General features: G+C 38.7%; 1 protein-coding gene across 7 annotated transcripts in view; it reads right to left on the reverse strand.

Moving 5' to 3' along the window:
- Nucleotides 1–20,819, reverse strand: part of ENTHD1 (ENTH domain containing 1) — a 150,717-nt gene that overhangs the window by 101,520 nt on the left and 28,378 nt on the right. For 6 of the 7 annotated variants that reach the window (XM_006724150.4, XM_011529927.3, NM_152512.4 and 3 more), the window contains exon 3: nt 17,202–17,444. The exons of the other annotated variant lie outside the window; for it this stretch is intronic. In XM_006724150.4, coding sequence (XP_006724213.1) covers nt 17,202–17,444 — 243 coding nt within the window. The remainder of the gene's footprint in view (nt 1–17,201; nt 17,445–20,819) is intronic. 7 annotated transcript variants of the gene reach the window in all.

Genomic DNA, 20,819 nt, shown 5'->3' on the forward strand with positions numbered 1-20,819 from the left:
GGTTTTTTTAAAAAAGTCAATAGTAATCTAACATAGAAACAGATATAACTAAAATTTCTAAAAGAAAAAGAATCAAAATAACTGGTGGCCAAGCAAAGAAACAAGATCTAGGACATCCCTTCTCCCCCAAAAGCAATACTGGTAAGATGACAAAAATCTTAGAGTTCTCATCAATATCCACATGTCTGGAAAAAAAGAGAACTGAATGGAGAATGCTTTCTTCCCACTTATGACGGAGGAGAGGTGAAAATAGCTAGAGAAAAAAATGGGTGTAACAGAGTAAATAAAGGTGCTTACACTTCAATGGGCATGAAAGCTACAGTTTGACACTGAATTGGGCGAAGGATCTAAAGCTTGAAGGCATCTCTCCCCCACAGGAATAGGATACATACCTCAACTAGGTAGAATGAGCAGGACCTCGTATAAGAGACTCAAAAACAGAACAGAGTTCAGGTATTCTAAAGAAGACCATACATGGCCTCAGCTGAGATCTGCTACAGAAAAATGGATTAAAAAAAAAAAAAAAGCCCACAGACTGCAGCCTGGTGGAGAAAACAAACTGATCTCAGATATGGCGGGAAGAGTCAAGAAATCACTAAGTGTTTCTGAACAAACAACAGCCAAAGTTTATTGTGCTGACTCTGTATTAGCCCATTTACTTCTTATAACAACTCCATCACAGGGCCCATGTTAACCCCATTTTACAGAAGGTGAAATTACAGCACAAGGGCTTAAGTAGCCAGTCCAAGGTCATACAACCAGTCAGGATTCAAATGCAGACAGTATGGCTCCAGGACCTGAGCCCTTAACCGTTATACTCTACCACCTTCAAGAGACAGTGCCTAGTGAGAGCTGCCTAAGCATCAGCAAGATGTGAAGAAATGGCCTGGCAACTAAACAAACACATTCCGGTAGAAAAACGAGCAGAGAAGGAGGGAAGGAGAAGCATGAAAGGGAAAGAAAGGGAGATGGCATGCATAAAAGAAAGATCCCAAATGCAGAAGAAAATGTAGCTCAAGAAACAGAAGGAAAATTCCTCACAATATGGCATTCATTTTTGAAGTTATTGTAAATTATATCTTTCATAAAATTCGTAATTGTTTCTTGTCACTACATAATACAAAGCTAAGCATTTAAAAAATGTTTCTTGGCCTTACATGTTTCCTGTTTTTCTAGAAATGATTTTCATATTTGCTTCCTCTTTTTCTGTTGAGCTACTCTTTTCTCATTGATCTGCAAGAATTTTTTATATATTCTGGATACTAATCCTTTGTCAGTTATATGCGTTGGAAAATTTTCCCATTTTGCGGCTTTTTTTTTCACTTTTACATGGTGTTTTTTTTTCCCCTCAAAATCTACTACAAAACTATAGTAATCAAAATAGGGTGGTTCTGACACAAAACCAGACATATAATCTGTTCCAATGGAACAGAACAGAGAGCCCAGAAATAAATCCATGCATTTATGGCCAACTGATCAACAAAGGTACCAAGAATACACAATGGGAAAGGACAGTTTCTTTGATAAGTGGTGCTGGGAACACTGGATAATCCACCACACATATAAAAATCAACTAAAAATGGATAAAAGATTTAAAATGCCAGACCTGAATCTGTAAAACTACTAGAAGAAAACATAGGGAAAAGTTTCTTTTTGAGACAGGGTCTTGGTCTGTCACCCAGATTAGAGTGCAGTGGCGTGATCACAGCTCACTGCAGCCTCTACCGCTCAGGCTCAAGCGATCTTCCCATTTCTGCCTCCTGAATAGCTGGGACTGCAGGCACATGCCACCATGTCCAGCTAATTTGTTTTTTTTCTTAAGAGACAGGGTCAGATGAGTAGGTTGCGAAAATTTTCTCCCATTTTGTAGATTGCCTGTTCACTCTGATGGTAGTTTCTTTTGCTGTGCAGAAGCTCTTTAGTTTAATTAGATCCCATTTGTCGATTTTGACTTTTGTTGCCATTGCTTTTGGTGTTTTAGATGTGAAGTCCTTGCCCATGCCTATGTCCTGAATGGTAATGCCTAGGTTTTCTTCTAGGTTTTTTATGGTTTTAGGTCTAACGTTTAAGTCCTACTCATCTGACAAAGGGCTAATATCCAGAACCTACAATGAACTCAAACAAATTTACAAGAAAAAAACAAACAACCCCATCAAAAAAATGGGCAAAGGATATGAACAGACACTTCTCAAAAGAAGACATTTATGCAGCCAAAAGACACATGAAAAAATGCTCATCATCACTGGCCATCAGAGAAATGCAAATCAAAACCACAATGAGATACCATCTCACACCAGTTAGAATGGCAGTCATTAAAAAGTCAGGAAACAACAGGTGCTGGAGAGGATGTGGAGAAATAGGAACACTTTTACACTGTTGGTGGGACTGTAAACTAGTTCAACCATGGTGGAAGTCAGTGTGGCGATTCCTCAGGGATCTAGAACTAGAAATACCATTTGACCCAGCCATCCCATTACTGGGTATATACCCAAAGGACACATGCACACGTATGTTTATTGCGTCACTATTCACAATAGCAAAGACTTGGAACCAACCCAAATGTCCAACAATGATAGACTGGATTAAGAAAATGTGGCACATATACACCATGGAATACTATGCAGCCATAAAAATGATGAGTTCATGTCCTTTGTTAGGGACATGGATGAAATTGGAAATAATCATTCTCAGTAAACTATCGCAAGGACAAAAAACCAAACACCGCATGTTCTCACTCATAGATGGGAATTGAACAATGAGAACACATGGACACAGGAAGGGGAACATCACACTCTGGGGACTGTTGTGGGGTGGGGGGAGGGGGGAGGGATAGCATTAGGAGATACACCTAATGCTAAATGATGAGTTAATGGGTGCAGCACACCAGCATGGCACATGTATACATATGTAACCTGCACATTGTGCACGTGTACCCTAAAACTTAAAGTATAATAATAATAATAAATAAAAATAAAAAAATAAAGTCAGCTGATTAGCAAACTTAAAAAAAAAAAGACAGGGTCTTGCTGTGTTGCTCAGGATGGTCTCAAATTCCTGGGCTCAAGAAATCCTTCCGCCTTGATCTCCCAAAGTGCTGAGAGGCATGAGTCACCTGTAAAGGCATGAGCTACCACACCCAACGGGGAAAAACTTCTTGATATTGATCTGGGCAAAGAACTTTTGTATATGACCCCAAAAGCACAGAAAATAAAAGGTAATACAGTTTTATTAGTTTTCTAATGGTGCTATAAGATCATTTGTTCTAATGATGCTATAACAAATTACCACAAACTTAGTGGCCTAAAACAACAACCATTTATTATCTCGCAGTTCTGTAGTCAGAAGTGCAGGCAGGTTAAATGGGTTCTCTGTTTCTGGTTTCACAAAGCCAAAGTCAAGGCGTTGGCCAAGCTGAACTGTCATCTGGAAACCCTAGGGAAGAATCCACTTCCAAGTTCAATCCAGCTGTTGGCAGAATTCTGCTCCTTGCAACTGTGGGACTAAAGTCCCCATTTCCTTGCTGGCTGGCAACCAGGGGCCACTCTCACCTTCGAGGCCACTTGCATCCCTTATTACTCCATCTTCAAGCCAACAATAGTGCTTCAAATCCTTATCACACTTGGAATCTTTCTGACTCCCTCTTCGGCCACCAGCTAGAGAAAACTCTCTGCTTTTATTTTTTTTTAATTAATTAATTTTTTTTTTTTTTGAGACGGAGTCTCACTCTGTCACCAGGCTGGAGTGCAGTGGCACAATCTTGGCTCACTGCAACCTCCGCCTCCTGGGTTCAAGTGATTCTCCTGCCTCAGCCTCCAGAGTAGCTGGGATTACAGGCATGCACCACCATGCCCAGCTAATTTTTGTATTTTTAGTAGAGACAGGGTTTCACCATGTTGGCCAGGATGGTCTCAATCTCCTGACCTCATGATCCACCTACCTTGGCCTCCCAAAGTGCTGGGATTACAGGCATGAGCCACAGCGCCCGGCCAACTCTCTGCTTTTAAAGGACTCATCTGATTAGATAGGGCCTACCAGCATAATACCTTTTTTGCCTTAGAATATAACAATCATGGGGGTGGTAATTCATCATATTCACAGGTTCTGTCCACGCTCAAAGGGGAGAGGACTGTATATAGGCAAGGGTCATGGGGCTTATCCTCAAAACTCTGCCTACCACAAATGTCAAATTCATAAACACTTTTAAAAAATAATGTGCACTTTTTCTGTTTATGAAATATTTCCCTATTTCAATGTAAAAAATATATTCTAAATTTTCTTCTAAACGTTTCAAAGTTTTGCCTTTTTACCTTTAAATCCTTAATTCATCCAGGTTAGAGACCTCATTTCATTTTTACAATATGGATAAAAAATTATCCGAGTATTATTTATTGAGCAGTTCAGTTTTTCTCCACTATTCAAAAATGCCACTTCTGTCATTTACTGATTCCATAGTGGCCCAGGTCTGTTTTCTAGGGTTATGGTTTGTTCCATTGGTCCATGCACCTATCCTGCATCCATACCACAGTGTCATGATCAGTAAAATTTTAGTCTTGTTATTTAGAAAGGCAAACCCTCCACCTTACTCTATTTTAGGAATGTTTTGGATACTCTTGAACTTTTGATTCTTCCAGGTAAATTCTGGAATCAGTACATCAAATTCAACTCTTAAAACCCTTTTTGGATTTCGATTGTAACTGCACTGAATCAGCGGTTCTCTACTGGGAACAATTTGGCCCCCAGGGGACATTTGGCAATGTCTGCAGACTTTTTTGATTCAATACAACAGAAAGGGATGTTTGCTAATAGCATCCAGTGGGTACAGGCCAGGTATGATGCTAACTACCCTACAATGCATAGCTCCCACAACAAAGAATGATCTGTTTCAAAATATCAATAGTACCAAGGCTGAGAAACCCTCCACTAAATCTAGACAATTTGGAGAGAACTGACATGTTTACATTATTATTTTGATAAACATGGAATATCTTTCCATTTATATAGGTCTTTAATGTATTTCAATTAAACATTATAACCTACAGTGTACAGATTTTGTACTTCTTTTGTAAGACTTATTCCTAAATCAAGATTTTTGGCTATTATAAATGGTATCTTAAAAATTATGTTTAATATTTGTTACTGATATATAGAATATAACTTGATTTTATGTTTTGATGTTATAGCCAGCCATCTTTCTAAAACTCACTATTTTTAGTATGTCTGTAGATCTTTCGAAGTTTTCTATATGAAAATCCTATCGTTTACAAATGATGCTCGTTTCTTCCATTTTGATACTGACATTTTTAATTTCTCTTGCTTGTTTTACTGTGATGGCTAGGACCTCCACTACAAAGCTGACGTAGCAAGGAGAACTGATGTCCTTTTCTTCCACCTTATTCTAAAAGAAATAGTCCCACATTCAAATGTATGGAAATTTTTTATTTATATTTTTTGTTAACTTCAAATTTAATGGTATTTTGGTAAGAAAACGTGTCCTCTATGAAACAGATTTTTGGAAATGTAAAGACTTCCTTTATAACACATATCATCAATTATAAAATCCATATTAAAAAAAGTTTCATGTCCTTCACCTATCAATAAAGATGTTTTGAAATTATCTACTATGATGGTAGATATTTCAATTTATTCCTGTAGTTCTACCAACTTTTGCTTTATATACTTTGAAGTTATTTTACTGGGTATATTCACATTTAGAAATACTACATCTTCCTGGGAAATTGAGCATCTTATTATTATCCTTAATGCTCTTGGCTTTAAAGTCTCCTTTGCCTGTTATTAAGTAGCTACACCAGCCTTCTTTTAGTTTGTATATGCCTGACTTACCTTTTTCCATACATTGCTTTCAATCTTTATGTGAATTTATGCTTGCAGCATATATCTGGATTTCTCTTTCCCCAATCTGATAGTCTCTGCCTTTTAATAGGTGAGTTTAATCTATTACTATTTACTGTGATTATTAATCTATCTGGGCTTATTTCTATTATTTATTTTACTTTTTAATTTCCATTTGTTCCACTTTATGCTTTTTGCCCTTTATAAAATTTTATTTTTTTCTCATTCTACTTCTTCTTGCTACTTGTCTGGAATTTATGCACTCTATTTCTCTTCTTTTAAAGTTTATTCTTGAAAGTTTATCATGCACGTTTACCTTTAAAAGTTTACAGTCAAAGAATATTCATTACCTTCTCTTAAAAACACAAGGACCTTTAGAACACAACTCTGGACCTGCCCACCCCCACTTACATACCGTGGCTACCCACTATTCTAGTTGTCTTTTTCTTAACTCAAAAATTAGATTTATATATCAAATGTTTATTATACATACGTATCTATATTTATGTGTGTGTTTACCATTTATTCATTATTCTCTCTTGAATTTTCAACTATCTTTCTGGAATAATTTTCCTCTTTTTGAAGTATACCCTTTAATGCAGGTCTCATGGTTGTAAACTCTCTTCGTTTTTTTATTCATCTATAAATAACTATTTCACCCTCACCCTTAAATCATAGTCTTGCTGGTACACAATTATAGGCTGTTATTTTCCTTCAGCATTTCTAAGATACTATGTCACTGTCGTCAGGCTTCTACTGTAGAAGATGAGAAGCTTTCTGGTACAGTAATTAATTGTCATTCCTTTGTAGCAGTATCCTCCATATGGCTTAATTAATATTACTTTCATATTTTCCATTTTCTTTAGGCATATCTTCTAGCTCACTAAATACATTTTTTTAGTTCAGTAGTATTTCTCATTTCTGCAAGTTCCCTTTTTTCAAATTCATCCATTCAGTCCTAATAATCTCTTGATAACTGGTGATGCATGCGATTATATCCTTTATTTATGTAAATACACAGCTGTTCTGTATCTGACCTTTCCAATATCTACACTCTTTGGGGGATTAAGTATGTTCTTTGCTGCTTACCTCCTCCTGTTTTGGTGATATTGGATTTTGAGCTCATTGCTTGTCTTAAACTGGTGAAAATCCTATTGGACTTAACTTATGAAATGAGTACACTTTCTCAATTCAGTCCCCTTGAGGGTCTGGGTTCAGCATAGTGACCCAAGGCTTTCCTTCCCAATGCTCAAGACAGCCCCCAAACTCATTCTCTGATCTACTAACAACTGCTCTTAAGCAACTCAACCCCTACAGTTACCTGCAGCTTCCCACAGGCAGAATGCCAAGTCACTCTGACTTCAGCTCACATGTACTGTTCTTATTTTATTTTACATTTTTCAAAAAGAGAAACTTAGAGACTTCCCATACTTCTTGTGAGGCCAGTAGTGTCGCAAATAGTGTGTCACTTCCAGTCTTTGGTTATTGTGCAGTAAATGGAGTTCCTAGTCTCATTGCCTGAAGGAGACCTTTAATATTTTTTACTAAAAAACAGCATATAATTCCATTTTTATAAAAATAATTTCTCTCTAGCTATCCATCTCTCTATATGCATGTATAGATTTTTTAAAAATGCTGTCCAGGCATGATGGCTCACTCCTGTAATCCTAGCACTGTGGGAGGCTGAGGCGAGCAGATTGCTTAAGCCAAGGAGCTTGAGACCTTCCTGGGCAACATGGTGAAACTTTGTTTCTACCAAAAAAAAAAAACCCAAAAACCCAAATTTAGCCGGTGTGGTGGCGCATGCCTGCAGTCCCAGCTACTTGGGAGGCTGAGGTAGGAGAATCACCTGAGCCCAGGGAGGTCAAGGTGGCAGTGAACTGTGATGGTGCCACTGTACTTCAGCCTGGACAACAGAGTGAGAGCCTGTCTCACAAAAAAGATGCCTAGAATTGCAATCATCTGATATTAATGATGGTTATTTCTGAGTAATTATATAACAAGCCTATATTGTTTTTACAAGAGTATAATGGTTTTCCGAAACAAAAATAAAAAAGAAACAGTTATGCATACCCTAACAACAGGGATGCTTTCTGAGAAATGCATTGCTAGGCAATTTCATTGTTGTACAAACATCATAGAGTGTACTTACACACATTGAGATGGTAGAGCTTACTATACACCTGGGCTATATGGTATAGCCTATTGCTCCTAAGCAATGAACTTGTATAGCATATTACTGTACTGAATGTGGTAGGCAATTGTAACACAAGGACAATTGTAACACAATGGTAAGAATTTGTGTGTCTAAACATATCTAAACATAGAAAAGGTACAGTAAAAATATAATCTTATGGGACCAGTATCATACACGCAGTCCACCATTGACTGAAACATCATTATATGACACATGACTATTCTGAGATGTTAACAGTGGTCGGTTTAGGGTGGTACAGATACAAATTATTTTTATATATTTATTTTTAAATTTAAAAGATCAGCTGTTTGACATTTATCAATGCAAATGTTTTAGTTACAACCACAGTTTGTACCATTAGCCCTGCCATCTCATCTACATGTGGCAAGGCAACCAAGCATGACTCCACATCAACTCTGTTAGTACAAAGCTCTTTGTAGGAAGTAACAACATCAACGTTGCTGTTTTTTATTATAAAAGCATGACAACTACTTTGCAGTACAGCAAGTCCTCATTTAATGATGTCCATAGTCTCTTGGAAATTGCTACTTTAAGGGAAACAATGTATAATGAAACCAATTTTACCATAGGCTAATTAATATAAACAAGAACTAAGTTCCTACAGTGTATTTCTAGTCACAAAAATTTCACCAAACTTAAAAATAAAGACCAAAACATTTGGGAGGCCGAGGCAGGCAGATCACAAGGTCAGGAGTTCGAGACCAGCCTGGCCAATATGGTGAAACCCTGTCTCTACTAAAAAAAAATACAAAAGTGAGTCGGGTGTAGTGGCAGGCACCTGTGGTCCCAGCTACTTAGGAGGCTGAGGCAGGAGAATCACTTGAACCTGAGGGGCATTGCAGTGAGCTGCAATCGTGCCACTGCACTCTAGCCTGGGCGACAGAGTGAGACTCTGTCTCAAAACAAACAACAACAAAAAAAACCAAAACACTTTTATTCTTCTTCTTATTATTATTTTTTGAGATAGAGTCTTGCTGTGTCACCCAGTCTGGAGTACAGTGGCGTGATCTCAGCTCACTGCAACGTCTGCCTCCCAGGTTCAAGCAATTCTCCTGCCTTAGCCTCCTGAGTAGCTAGGACTATAGGCAACTGCCATCATGCCTGGCTAATTTTTGTATTTTTACTAGAGATAGGGGTTTCACCATGTTGGCCGGGCTGGTCTTGAACTCCTGGCCTCAGGTTATCTGCCTGCCTTGGCCTCCCAAAGTGCTGGGATTGCAGGCATGAGCCACTGTGCCTGGCCCACTTTTATTATTAAATGTTGAAATAAATGTGAGCTATACATACATTTAAGGAAGATTAGTAAAAATAAGTAAGATGATTCATGTGCTCCCTTCAGGGTCACAGGTGGCTGGAGCCCATCCTGGAAGCTCAGGGCACAAGGTGGGAACCATCCCTGGACAGGGATGCTGCTTCATTGTGGGGTGCACTCACACCCACTCCACACTCACTTGGATTGGGACCATTCAGACATGCTGATTCACCCACCGTGCACATCCTTGGGAAGTGGGAGAAAAGCAGAGAACATGGAGAAAGCCCAGGCAGACAGGGGGAGAGTGTGCAAACTCCACACAGACAGGGACCTCAGCCGGGAATTGATGTTTTTCTCATCAGTTATAACAACATTGAACAAAAGGATGTTATTCAAGGACCTACTGTATAATTTTGGTTCAACAGCAATGATAGTTTTCAGGGAAATTTTTCCATGATATGGAATGCTATTACATTTGACACAGACCAGAGTAATCCTTAATACAGGTAAAGTTCTGTTGCAAAGAATGATGCTAGTGAAGAGCTCTTTATGGAAGATCAGATGACCAACACAGGTAAAGTTTTGCTGGTCTGGCTGTAAGTAGTGCCTCTGGAGATCATTTTTGTAATAACTGTTGCCTCTACAAAAATGGCCTGATGCTTAGAGCTGAGTTATAATTGTCCTTTTTGTATTGTTCTGTCTTGCCATCAAGCAGCAATGATCCTTCAGTCCATCTCTTCCTTCAAACTTCAAAAGCATCGAAACAAAAACCACCCAGGCTATCTACTAGAATTAAAACTTGGGAAAACATCCAAGAAAAGAAAAAAAAAAAGAAGTAGAAGTGGTGATGTGTATATAACACCTTCTTTAAAGTGCCTCTTTTCCCTTGCTGATTCACCATAAAGAAGGGAAGCACAGCTGTTTCAGCTCTAGGTCCTAAAGGCTGGAAATCACATTTCCTGCATTCAATTTTACATTTCACTGTAACTAAATAACTTAGAGACATCTTTAGACTCCTTCTAATGAAAATTTACCTGTATGATATCATCACTTGCCTCCATTTTCTCTAATGCAAATGTTAGTCAATTTCAATTTCTCTCTTCTCCAGTACATCATCCACTTACCCCCATTGCCTCTCTACAGTCTATCTTTAAACACTACTGTTTCCTCATTTCTATAACCCTAGGAGCAGGTCCTGGATGCCTGGATTGAAACAACTGTCTCTTACAAGCTTCGTTCAATTTGTATCTCCTTCATTTCTACACAAAGCAATAAGAATTATCTTCCACAAATAGCTGTTTTCAGTAATAAGGAAGCTCAGTTCTGTGACTAAGCTAAACATTCCTTCTGTTCTCCAAGGCCTACAATGGTTCCTAGTTGCTACTCATATCAAACTGAGTTTATTAGCTCATTTATGAATTGCTCTGAGTACTCTCAGCTATCTACCCCTACTGTTTTACATATTCAAATTTATATTTTTATTCCATTTAGTCAGACAACTCTGTATTACCATGCTTAATCTGTGTCTTGCTTGTATTCTTTACCATTATTGTAGAAATGATTTGTGGTCCCGAGCATTTATTCTCTCCATCTTCCTTAATAACAGAATCTCTTAACTTTCATCTGGGCACATGATATTTCTCAACCTCCTTTGTAGCTAGGAGTGTCAGTGGGACTAAGTACTAAACAATAATATGTGACTTGTTAAAAAAAAAAAAAAGAAGAAAGAAAAAAAAGGGAAGAGACATTCATATTTTCAATCTCCCTTCCTTTCTCCTGGCTAGAAGGCAGATGTGATGGCTGGAGCTCAAGCAGCAATGAATCAAAAAGTGGAAGTGGATCATGAAGTGGAACTTAAACGCTGAGTTTGGTGGAGCAATGAGACTCAAAAATAGCCCTGAAGCCAACAGTGTAGAGAGCCATATCAGTCATAGAACACCTACAAGAGAGTATTTCAGAAGAGAGAAATAAATTTGTATGTTTAAGCTGCTAGCATTTTTGTGGCCTCTACTATCATAACTTGTGGATGCACCTCCTTCTAACTAATCTACCTATCTTTGAGTTTTAATTTGCTACTTCTCCTGTCCCATTAAGAATGTCCCCCTCGTGGCCGGGCGCGGTGGCTCAACGCCTGTAATCCCAGCACTTTGGGAGGCTGAGGCGGGCAGATCACCTGAGGTCGGGAGTTCAAGACTAGTCTGACCAACATGGAGAAACCCCGTCTCTACTAAAAATACAAAATTAGCCGGGTATGGTGGCATGTGCCTGTAATCCCAGATACTGGGGAGGCTGAGGCAGGAGAACCACTTGAACCTGGGAGGCAGAGGTTGCGGTGAGCCAAGATTGCACCATTGCACTCCAGCCTGGGCAACAAGAGTGAAACTTCATCTCAAAAAAAAAAAAAAAAAAAAAAGAATGTCCCCTCAATTTCTTATTTTTTCCCACCCCAACTCCAAACTGTCAGTTTTCTTTCTTCCTTTAAAATACAGCTTCAGATTCAAATGCCTACATGGAATTGGTTAGTATTGCCAAGTTTACTTAATCCAATTACTCTTTTTTGAACACAAACACAGACATCTGTATATCTAGGATGTACTCATATAGAAAGCAGATAAATGAAATAAAAATAACAGATTTAAAACAAATTTACTATAGATTTTACATCCAAACATTCACTGTTCGCTTTAAATGGTACTCTTACTATAGATATACAATAATGATGCCATCATTGACTAAAGCTTTTTTAGAACATCTTTTTTGTGAAACATACTTAAAAGCACATGGTAGCAAGATCTTGTCTCGAAAAAATATTTTTTCAAGTCAGCTGGGTGTGGCGGTGTGTGCCTGTAGTCCCAGCTAGTTGGTAGGCTAAGCCAGGAGGATTACTTGAGTCCAGTAGTTCAAGGCTGCAGTGAGTCATTATCACACCACTGCGCTCCTGCCGGGGTGACAGAGCAAGACCCTGTCTCAAAAAAAAAAAAAAAAGAAAGAAAGAAAAGGAAAAGAAAAAGCACACAGTACATCACAAGCTATAGCCTCCAATAGAGCAGAAATACAGTCAATTTACTTAACAGGCTTAGAACAATGTCTGGCATTATAGTGAGGAGACACTCAATATGTGTTTGTCGTATTAAAAAATAATAAATTGTAGCAAAACTTCATTTGAAAGTGGATTCACTTTTTTAAAATAGTCAAGTCATTCATAGCTCAGTGTAGTGAATGAGACATGTCATAAAGATGGAGAATATCATTTTAGGTTTAAAAACGCAATCTGTGGGGCTGGGCGCAGTGGCTCATGACTGTAATCCCAGCACTTTGGGAGGCTGAGGCAGGCAGATCATCTGAGGTCAGGAGTTCGAGACCACCCTGACCAACATGAAGGAACCCCGTCTCTACTTAAAATACAAAATTAGCCAGGCGTGATGGCGTATGCCTGTAATCCCAGCTACTCTGGAAGGCTGAGGCAGGAGAATCGCCTGAACCCTGGAGGCAGAGGTTGCAGTGAGCCGAGATGGTGCCATTGCTCTCCAGCCTGGACAGCAAGAGTGAAACTCCGTCTCAAAAAAAAAAAAAAAAAAAAAAAAAAAAGCAATCTGTGACTACAAAACAATAAACTAGAATTTCTTGCATGAATCATAAAATCAGAGTTGGGTTACTTCTGTATCAATTTAGGGATTCATTTCTTAAGCTTACGATTCACCAGGCCAAGTTTGCTCCAGTTTCAGAGCATCTACCCTGCTGTTCCCTCTGCCTGATATACAGGCACACCTTGAAGATACTGCGGTGGGCTGGGTTCCAGATTACTGCAATAAAGCAAATATTCCAATAAAGCCACTCACACAAACATTTTTGTTTCCCAGTGCATATAAAAGTTATGTTTACATTAGACTGCAGTCTACTTAGTAGACTAAGTATGCAATACCATGCTGCCTAAAAAATATATATACATAATTAAATAATACTTTATTGCTAATTTAAAAAGGCTAACAATCATCTGAGCCTTCAGCGAGTCTTCATCTTTTTGCTGGTGGAGGGTCTTGTCTCCATGTTGAGGGCTGCTGATAGATCAGGGTGGTTGCTGCTGAAGGTTGGGAAAGCTGTGGCAATTTTTTAAAGTAAGACAACAATAAAGCCTGCAACATCAACTGACTCTTCCTTTCACAAAAGATTTATCTGTAGCATGTGATGCTGTTTGATAGCATTTTACCCACAGTAGAACTTCTTTCAAAATTGGAGTCAATCCTCTCTAATCCTGCCACTGGTTTATTTACTAAGTTTATGTAATATTCTGAATTCTTTGTTGGCATTGCAACAATGTTCACAGCTTCTTCACAGGAGTAGATTTCAACTCAAGAAACCATTTTCTTTGCTCATCCATAAGAAGTATCTCCTCATCTGTTCAAGTTTGATCATGAGATTGCAGCAATCCAGTCACATCTTCAGGCTCCACTTCTAATTCTAGTTCTCTTGCTATTTCCGCCACATCTGCAGTTCCTTCCTCCACTGAAGTCTTGAACCCCTCAAAGTCATCCATAAGGGTTGGAATCCACTTCTTTCAAACTCCTGTTAATGTTGAAATTTTGGCTTCCTCCCATGAATCACAAATGTTCTTAATGGCATCTAGAGTGGTGAATCTTTTCCAGAAGGTTTTTAATTTACTTTGCTCAGATCCATCAGAGGAATCACTATCTATGGAAGATATAGCTTTATGAAATGTATTTCTTCAGTAATAAGACTTGAAAGTTGAAATCACTCCTTGATCCATGGGCTGAAGAATAAACACTGTGTTTTAGCAGGCACGAAAACAATATTAATCTCCTTGTACATCTCCATCAGAGCTCTTGGGTGACCAGGTGCACTGTCAATGAGCAGTAATATTTTTAAAGAAATCTTAAGGGCACTAGGATTTTGGGAATGGTAAAGGAGCAGTTGGCTTCAACTTAAAGTCACCAGTTGCATTAGTCCCTAACAAGAGAGTCAGCCTGTCCTTTGAAGCTTTGAAGCCAGGCATTGACTTCTCCTCTCTAGCTATGAGAGTCCTAGATGGCATCTTTTTCCAACAAAAGGCTATTTCACCCACATTGAAAATCTATTTAGTGTAGCCCCCTTCATCAATTACCTTAGCTAGATCTTCTGGATAACTTGCTACAGCTTCTCCATCAGTACTTGCTGCTTCACTTTGTACTTGTGTGTTATGGTGACAGTTGCTTTCCTTGAACCTCATGAACCCACCTCTGCTAGCTTCAAGATTTTCTTCTGCAGTTTCCTCTTCTCTCTCAGTCTTTGCAGAATTAAAGACAGTTAGAACCTTGCTCTGGATTAGGCTTTGGCTTAAGTGATAATGGGGCTAGTTGGATCTTCTATCCAGACCATGCAACCTTTCTCTATAACAGCAATAAAGCTGTTTCCCATTCTTATCATTCCCGTATTCATTGGAGCAGCACTTCTAATTTCCTTCCAGAACTTTTCCTTTACATTCATAACTTAGCTAACTGTTTGGCACAAGAGGCCTACCTTTCAGCCTGTTTCGGCTTTCAACATGCCTTTCTCACTAAGTTTAACCATTTCTAGCTTTTGAATTAAAGTGAGAAACCTGCGACTCTTCCTTACACTTGAACACTTAGAGGCCATTGTAGGGTTATTAATTGGCTTAATTTCAATATTGTTGACCCTCAGGGACTAGGGAGACCCAAGGAGAGAGAGAGAGATCGGGATCAGTGAAGCAGTCAGAACACACATGACATCTATCAGTAAGTTCACTGGTCTTCTACAGCCATGGTTTGTGGTACCCCAAAACAATTACAACAGTAACATCTAAGATCACTGATCATAGATCACCATGACACATATAATAATAAGGAAAAAGTTAAAAATATTGCAAGAACTACCAAAATGTGACACAGACACAAAGTATGCACATGCTATCAGAAAAATGGTGCCAATAAACTTCTTGGGTACAGGATTGCCACAAACCTTCAATTTGTAAAATATACGTTATCTGTGAAGTGTAATTAAGCAAAGTGCAATCGATCGAGGTATGCCTGTATGTGGGTTGCTCCCTCACTTCATTCAGGTCTGTTTGAAGATTCACTTCCTCCAAAAGGCCCTCTCTCATTACGTGACCTAAAATAAACCCACCCCTGTCACTCTGTTCCCTGACCCTGCTTTCCTTTTCTTTACAGGACTTGTTATTATCTGACATATTTTATGCTTGTGACAGAGACATCCCAGTCTCTACCACTAGAATGTTAGTTCCATGATAAAAGAAAACTTATTTTACTCACTCCTATAGTTCCAAATTTCTGCTGAATATCCAAATTTTAAATAAATTCAATAATTATGTGTTTACAATGAAAGAAGAAAGAACTGACAAAAGAAAGGAAGAAGGAAGAGTAAGAAAGGTAACATCGAAGAAGCAAAAGTGGGGAAGAAACTCTGGATGAGTCATAATTGGTTATTCTTCTCTGTTACTCTGTTTTTAGCATCAGTTTGATTTAAAGGCTCCCATGAGAAAATTTCAGAATGAGTGGCTGTCTCTTTCGGAGATTTATTTCAAAAGAATCAGATCCCCTAAAGATCCCACCACTTTTAGAAGCCGGTAGGTAGTATTTGCTACTATAATTACAATGGCTACCCTCTTATAATGTCTCTCTCCAATCCCAAGTGTGGATGTTCACTCTATGTCTCACTGGGTGAACGTTTGAAACTCTTGATTAAGACAGAAAAGTACCTGAATGATTTTTAGCAAGCTTAACTTGTGTTGGTATTACTAGTAACATTGTTACATTTTTGCACTTAACTGACAGTTGGAATTATCTATTTGTACTGAATACAAAGGGACAGTTCTCTAAGTCACATTTCACTAATGTTTTTGCTTCCTCAAGCTGTCCATTTCTCATACACAACTTATCAACAGGGTTTCTACTGGAGAAGTTAGAGCAAAATGACATTTTTTAAAGTTTTAGCAAATTTGGTAGAAAAGATGATAGCATTTTTCTACTCATGTCTATTATAACATTATAAATAAATCCCTCTGTTATAAAAGTTCAGTAGTCCATATTTAAAGTTTTAAGCAAAGGAAAGGGTAAAAGGTATTGTCCTAGAATAATTTTAGAGCACTTTTAGGATTCTGAAGCATACTTTAGAAAATTTCAATTACTTGATTTATGTTACAGGATCAAAGAGACCTCATACGCACATAACTAGACACCTAGTCTTAGAAAACTGTACTCCTTCACTTTCCAGTTAAGGATAAAAAACTTAAAATTGAATCACGATGCCAAATAGGGTAGTCACTAGTTTAATACCTTAAAAGCTCAAAAACATTTTATTTGAATCAAAGATAACTGCATTCAGAAAACAGTCATAAAACTGGGCTGGGCACAGTGGCTCACGCCTATAATCCCAGCACTTTCGGAGGCCAAGGCAGGAGGATCACTTGAGGTCATGAGTTCGAGACCAGCCTGGGCAACATGCTGAAACCCTGTCTCTACTAAAAATACAAAAATTAGCTGGGCATGGTGATGGGTGCCTGTAATCCCAGCTACTCAGGAGGCTGAGTCAGGAGAATTGCTTGAACCCAGGAGACAGAGGTTGCAGTGAGCTGAGATAGTGCCACTACACTCCAGCCTAGGAGACAGAGCAAGATTCCGTCTCAAAAATAAATAAATAAATAAATAAAGCAAACAAATAAACTTTAAAAAGGTCATAAAATCTTCTATTGAATATTCTTCGTTGTTGTTTTCTATAGTATGAAGCCTAATATGGTAATAGTAATACTAAATAATATTAATAATTTAGTACTAAAACATAATATTTTATATTTTTAAATCATTTTTAATGATACCTGTTGCATTTTAGGCCAATGTTCATTATACGTACTTTTATTATGTAACCTTCCAAACTTAGGAAGCTTATACTTCTTCTCTGAAGCAGAAATATCCGGTGTGGGGGCAGAAGTGCACGCTGTCAGTGAGTTACTTGAACCAAGTTGTCTTTTAGAAAACAATATAGAGTGGGAGGTACGCTGTCTAGTCCGACATGCCACTTCCCTCTCTTTACACAGCAATGGTTCATCCATCAGCAATGTGATGACTTGCTTAGATTTTTCCCGGATATAATAACCTGAAAAATACATTGACTCTGCTTAGAAAAGGAAATACTAGTTAAGGCTATAATTAATTTTTTTTCTACAGAAATTTTTTTAAAAATAAAAATCTCAGCAGTGAAAAAACCTGCAGCAAATAAAGAACTACTGATAAGTATATTCCTTTTCTTATACTTTAAAAGGTAAATAAGTCATTAATATATGATAAAATTATATACTGGCATTACATTTTTCACTTTAAATACATTATTGGATTTTCCTTTTAAAAGCAATATATGGCTGGGTGCGGTGGCTCATGGCTGTAATCTCAGCACTTTGGGAGGCTGAAGTGGGCAGATCACGAGGTCAGGAAATCAAGACCATCCTGGCCAATATGGTGAAACCTTGTCTCTACTAAAATACAAAAAACTAGCTGGGCATGGTGGCATGTGCCTGTAGTCCCAGCTACTCAGGAAGCTGAGACAGGGGAATCACTTGAACTCAAGAGGTAGAGGTTGCAGTGAGCTGAGATTGCACCACTGCACTCCAGCTTGGCAAGAGAGCGAGACTCTGTCTCAAAAAAAAAAAAAAAAAGAAAGAAAAAGCAATAATACTTTGCAATAATCAAACAATATAGGCATACAAAGAAGGGGTATGAATTAGATCTAGATATACTGACCTAGATGTATGACCAGGACACATGGTTAAAGATTTAGAGTAACATACACAATAGGATTTGAAGCTGTAACATATAGAGGAAAAGAAATCACCATATATGTACACGGAAGAGAGAAGCAGATAAAGAAATACATACAACTGTGGTTTGAATGTATCCCCTCCAAAATTCAAGTACTGCCAATGTGATAGCATTAAGAGGTGGAGCCTTTAAGAGGTGATTATGCCATGAGGTCACCTCCTTTGTGAACAGACTAAAGGTCCTTATAAAAGAGGCTTCCCACAGCATTTGTCTCTTGCTTGCCTTCCACCATCGCCTTTCGGACCTTCTGTCACATGAGGACACAGCATTCCTCCCTTCCAGAGGATGCAGCATCAAGGCGCCATCTTGGAAGCAGACAGCAGCCCTCACTAGACAACTGAACCTGCCAGTGCCCTGAACCTGGACTCTCCAGCCTCCAGAACCATGAGAAAATAAATTTCTCTTCTTTCTAAATTACCCAGTCTGTGATACTCTGTTATAGCAGCACAAGCAGACTAAGACAGATAGACAGACAGGCAAGAATATAGGAAGGCAGGCAGGCAGGCAAACAGATGGCATACTCAGAATATTGTTAACATCTGTTACCTTACAGGGGTACAGTTGGGGTGGGACAAGAAAAGGGAGAGCAATTGGCTTTTCTCTGACGTAACATCCTATCAAAACAATTTGCTGCTTTTTAACAGAGTGACAGAGCACAGTCAAAGACAAGAATTCTAGTGAGAGTGATAGCTCTGTCCTTAACCATCTGTGTGACTTTCAGTCAGTCAGGTGGTCTATCTGGGCCTGAGTCTTCTATCTGAAAAGCAGCACAAGCAGTATCTGTATGGTTGAATTCCCAGATACAAAGGTACACTGTAACCTATAACTCACTCGAATATAAGGTATTACTATTTTTTCAACCTTCTTCCTAGAAAAACGATAAAGGAAATCACTTACCTTTCTCCATCTTGGGATGAACTCACAAACATGGCTTCCCAAGCCACCTTTCAAAAATAAACTGAAAAGTCCCTAATGATCCACTTGTATGTTCATTTTGGGCTCTAGGTGTGATGAATTAAAGTATTAATGTTTTCTAACTATAATTTACTAGCAGTGGAAGTGATGAGAAATGGTCAAATTTGGGGTATATTTAGATGACAGTGGCCAACGATGTTCTCTCACTGCGGGTCACTTCATTAAGGACTGGTGTGGACAGTGTCAGCAACCTTTGCTCAAGTTGCCATCTTTTCCAAGATTATTTTATCTAATCTCACTTCTTAGTTATTTCTTCCTTCCAAATCTACTTTATAACTGCTTCAAATCATATCATTCTAAACACTCTTAGCTTCCTATGATCAGTTTGCATTCCATAACCCGAATTTCCACAATGTTTTGGGTAACCATTCAGTGTCGTGTGATAAACAGAAGTCGGCTGTGAATTTTAGCCTTTGGGAACAATATGTCAGACACTTATCTTTCCCCTGAAAAATGGACAAAGATTGGTTTTGGAGGCACAAAGAACATGTTTTCCCATTTTTAACATCAGGAACTCATCTCCTTCCACCTTCCCCCTCATTCCTTCTACTCTAGCTACCCTGGTGCTTTATTCTGCAATCCCACCAAGCTCTTCATCTACTTAGAGCCATGTTTTGGCTGTTGCTTCTGCCAGGAACTCTTTGTGTGGCTCTATCCCTGATTCATTCAGGTCTCAAGTGTCACCTCCTCAGAGAATCTCCCTTCTGCCTACCCTTTCTAAAATAGCCCCACCCTCATCACTCTCTATTCCTTTATCCTGCTTTATTTTTCACATTCGCATTTATCATTACCTAATATTATATATTTATTGGTTTACTTATTTATTGTTTGTTTCCTCACCAAAAATATAAGCTCCATGAGGGGCAGAGAAGTCTCATTTTAGACACTGATATCTTCAGTGTCTGCAAGAGTGACTGGCACACAGTAGATGCTCAGTAAATATTTACTGAGTGACCAAGGTGGATAGATCACTTGAGGCCAGGAGTTTGAGACCAGCCTGGGCAACATGGTGAAACCCTGTCTCTACTACAAACACAAAAGTTAGCTGGGCACGGTGGTGCACACCTGTAATCCCAACTACTCAGGTGGCTGAGGGATGATAATCGCTTGAACCCAGGAGGCAGAGGTTGCAGTGAGCTGAGATTGGGCCACAGCACTCCAGCCTGGGTGACAGCGTGAGACTCAGTTTCAAAAACAAAACAAAAAATTTACCGAGTGAATTAATCATAAAGGAATAAATTACCAAAAAGCTGCTAATTTTCTTCTTGACATAGTGTAACTGGAACCAGATTGATGAAAAATACTAAGTCAATTTACAACTTAGCTGCCTAAGACAGTTGCTTGGCCTGAAATAATTTCTTGTAACACTGCTCTCATTAAGTTAGAACTAGAAATTATAGAATAGATATGAAATATTCTCCTTGGAGTCTGTGTGGATTGGTGGGATTTGAGGACAGCTGCAATAGTTCTAAGAGACAAGCAATTACACCAAGCAAAGAGCCAGTTGCAATAGTGGAGGACTTCTCCCCAGATCATCAGAGCCCCTCCCTGAGGTAGGACTCAGCAGCACCAGGAAGATCAGGCCACAGCAGTTCACCAAACATAGGGAATAAATCACCCAGAAGTGAGCTTCTGCCCACTACCCTAGCTTGCTATCATCCTAGAGAAGGTACTAGAGATA

This window comes from Homo sapiens, chromosome 22 (genome assembly GCF_000001405.40).
Source record: "Homo sapiens chromosome 22, GRCh38.p14 Primary Assembly".
Lineage (NCBI taxonomy): Eukaryota > Metazoa > Chordata > Mammalia > Primates > Hominidae > Homo > Homo sapiens.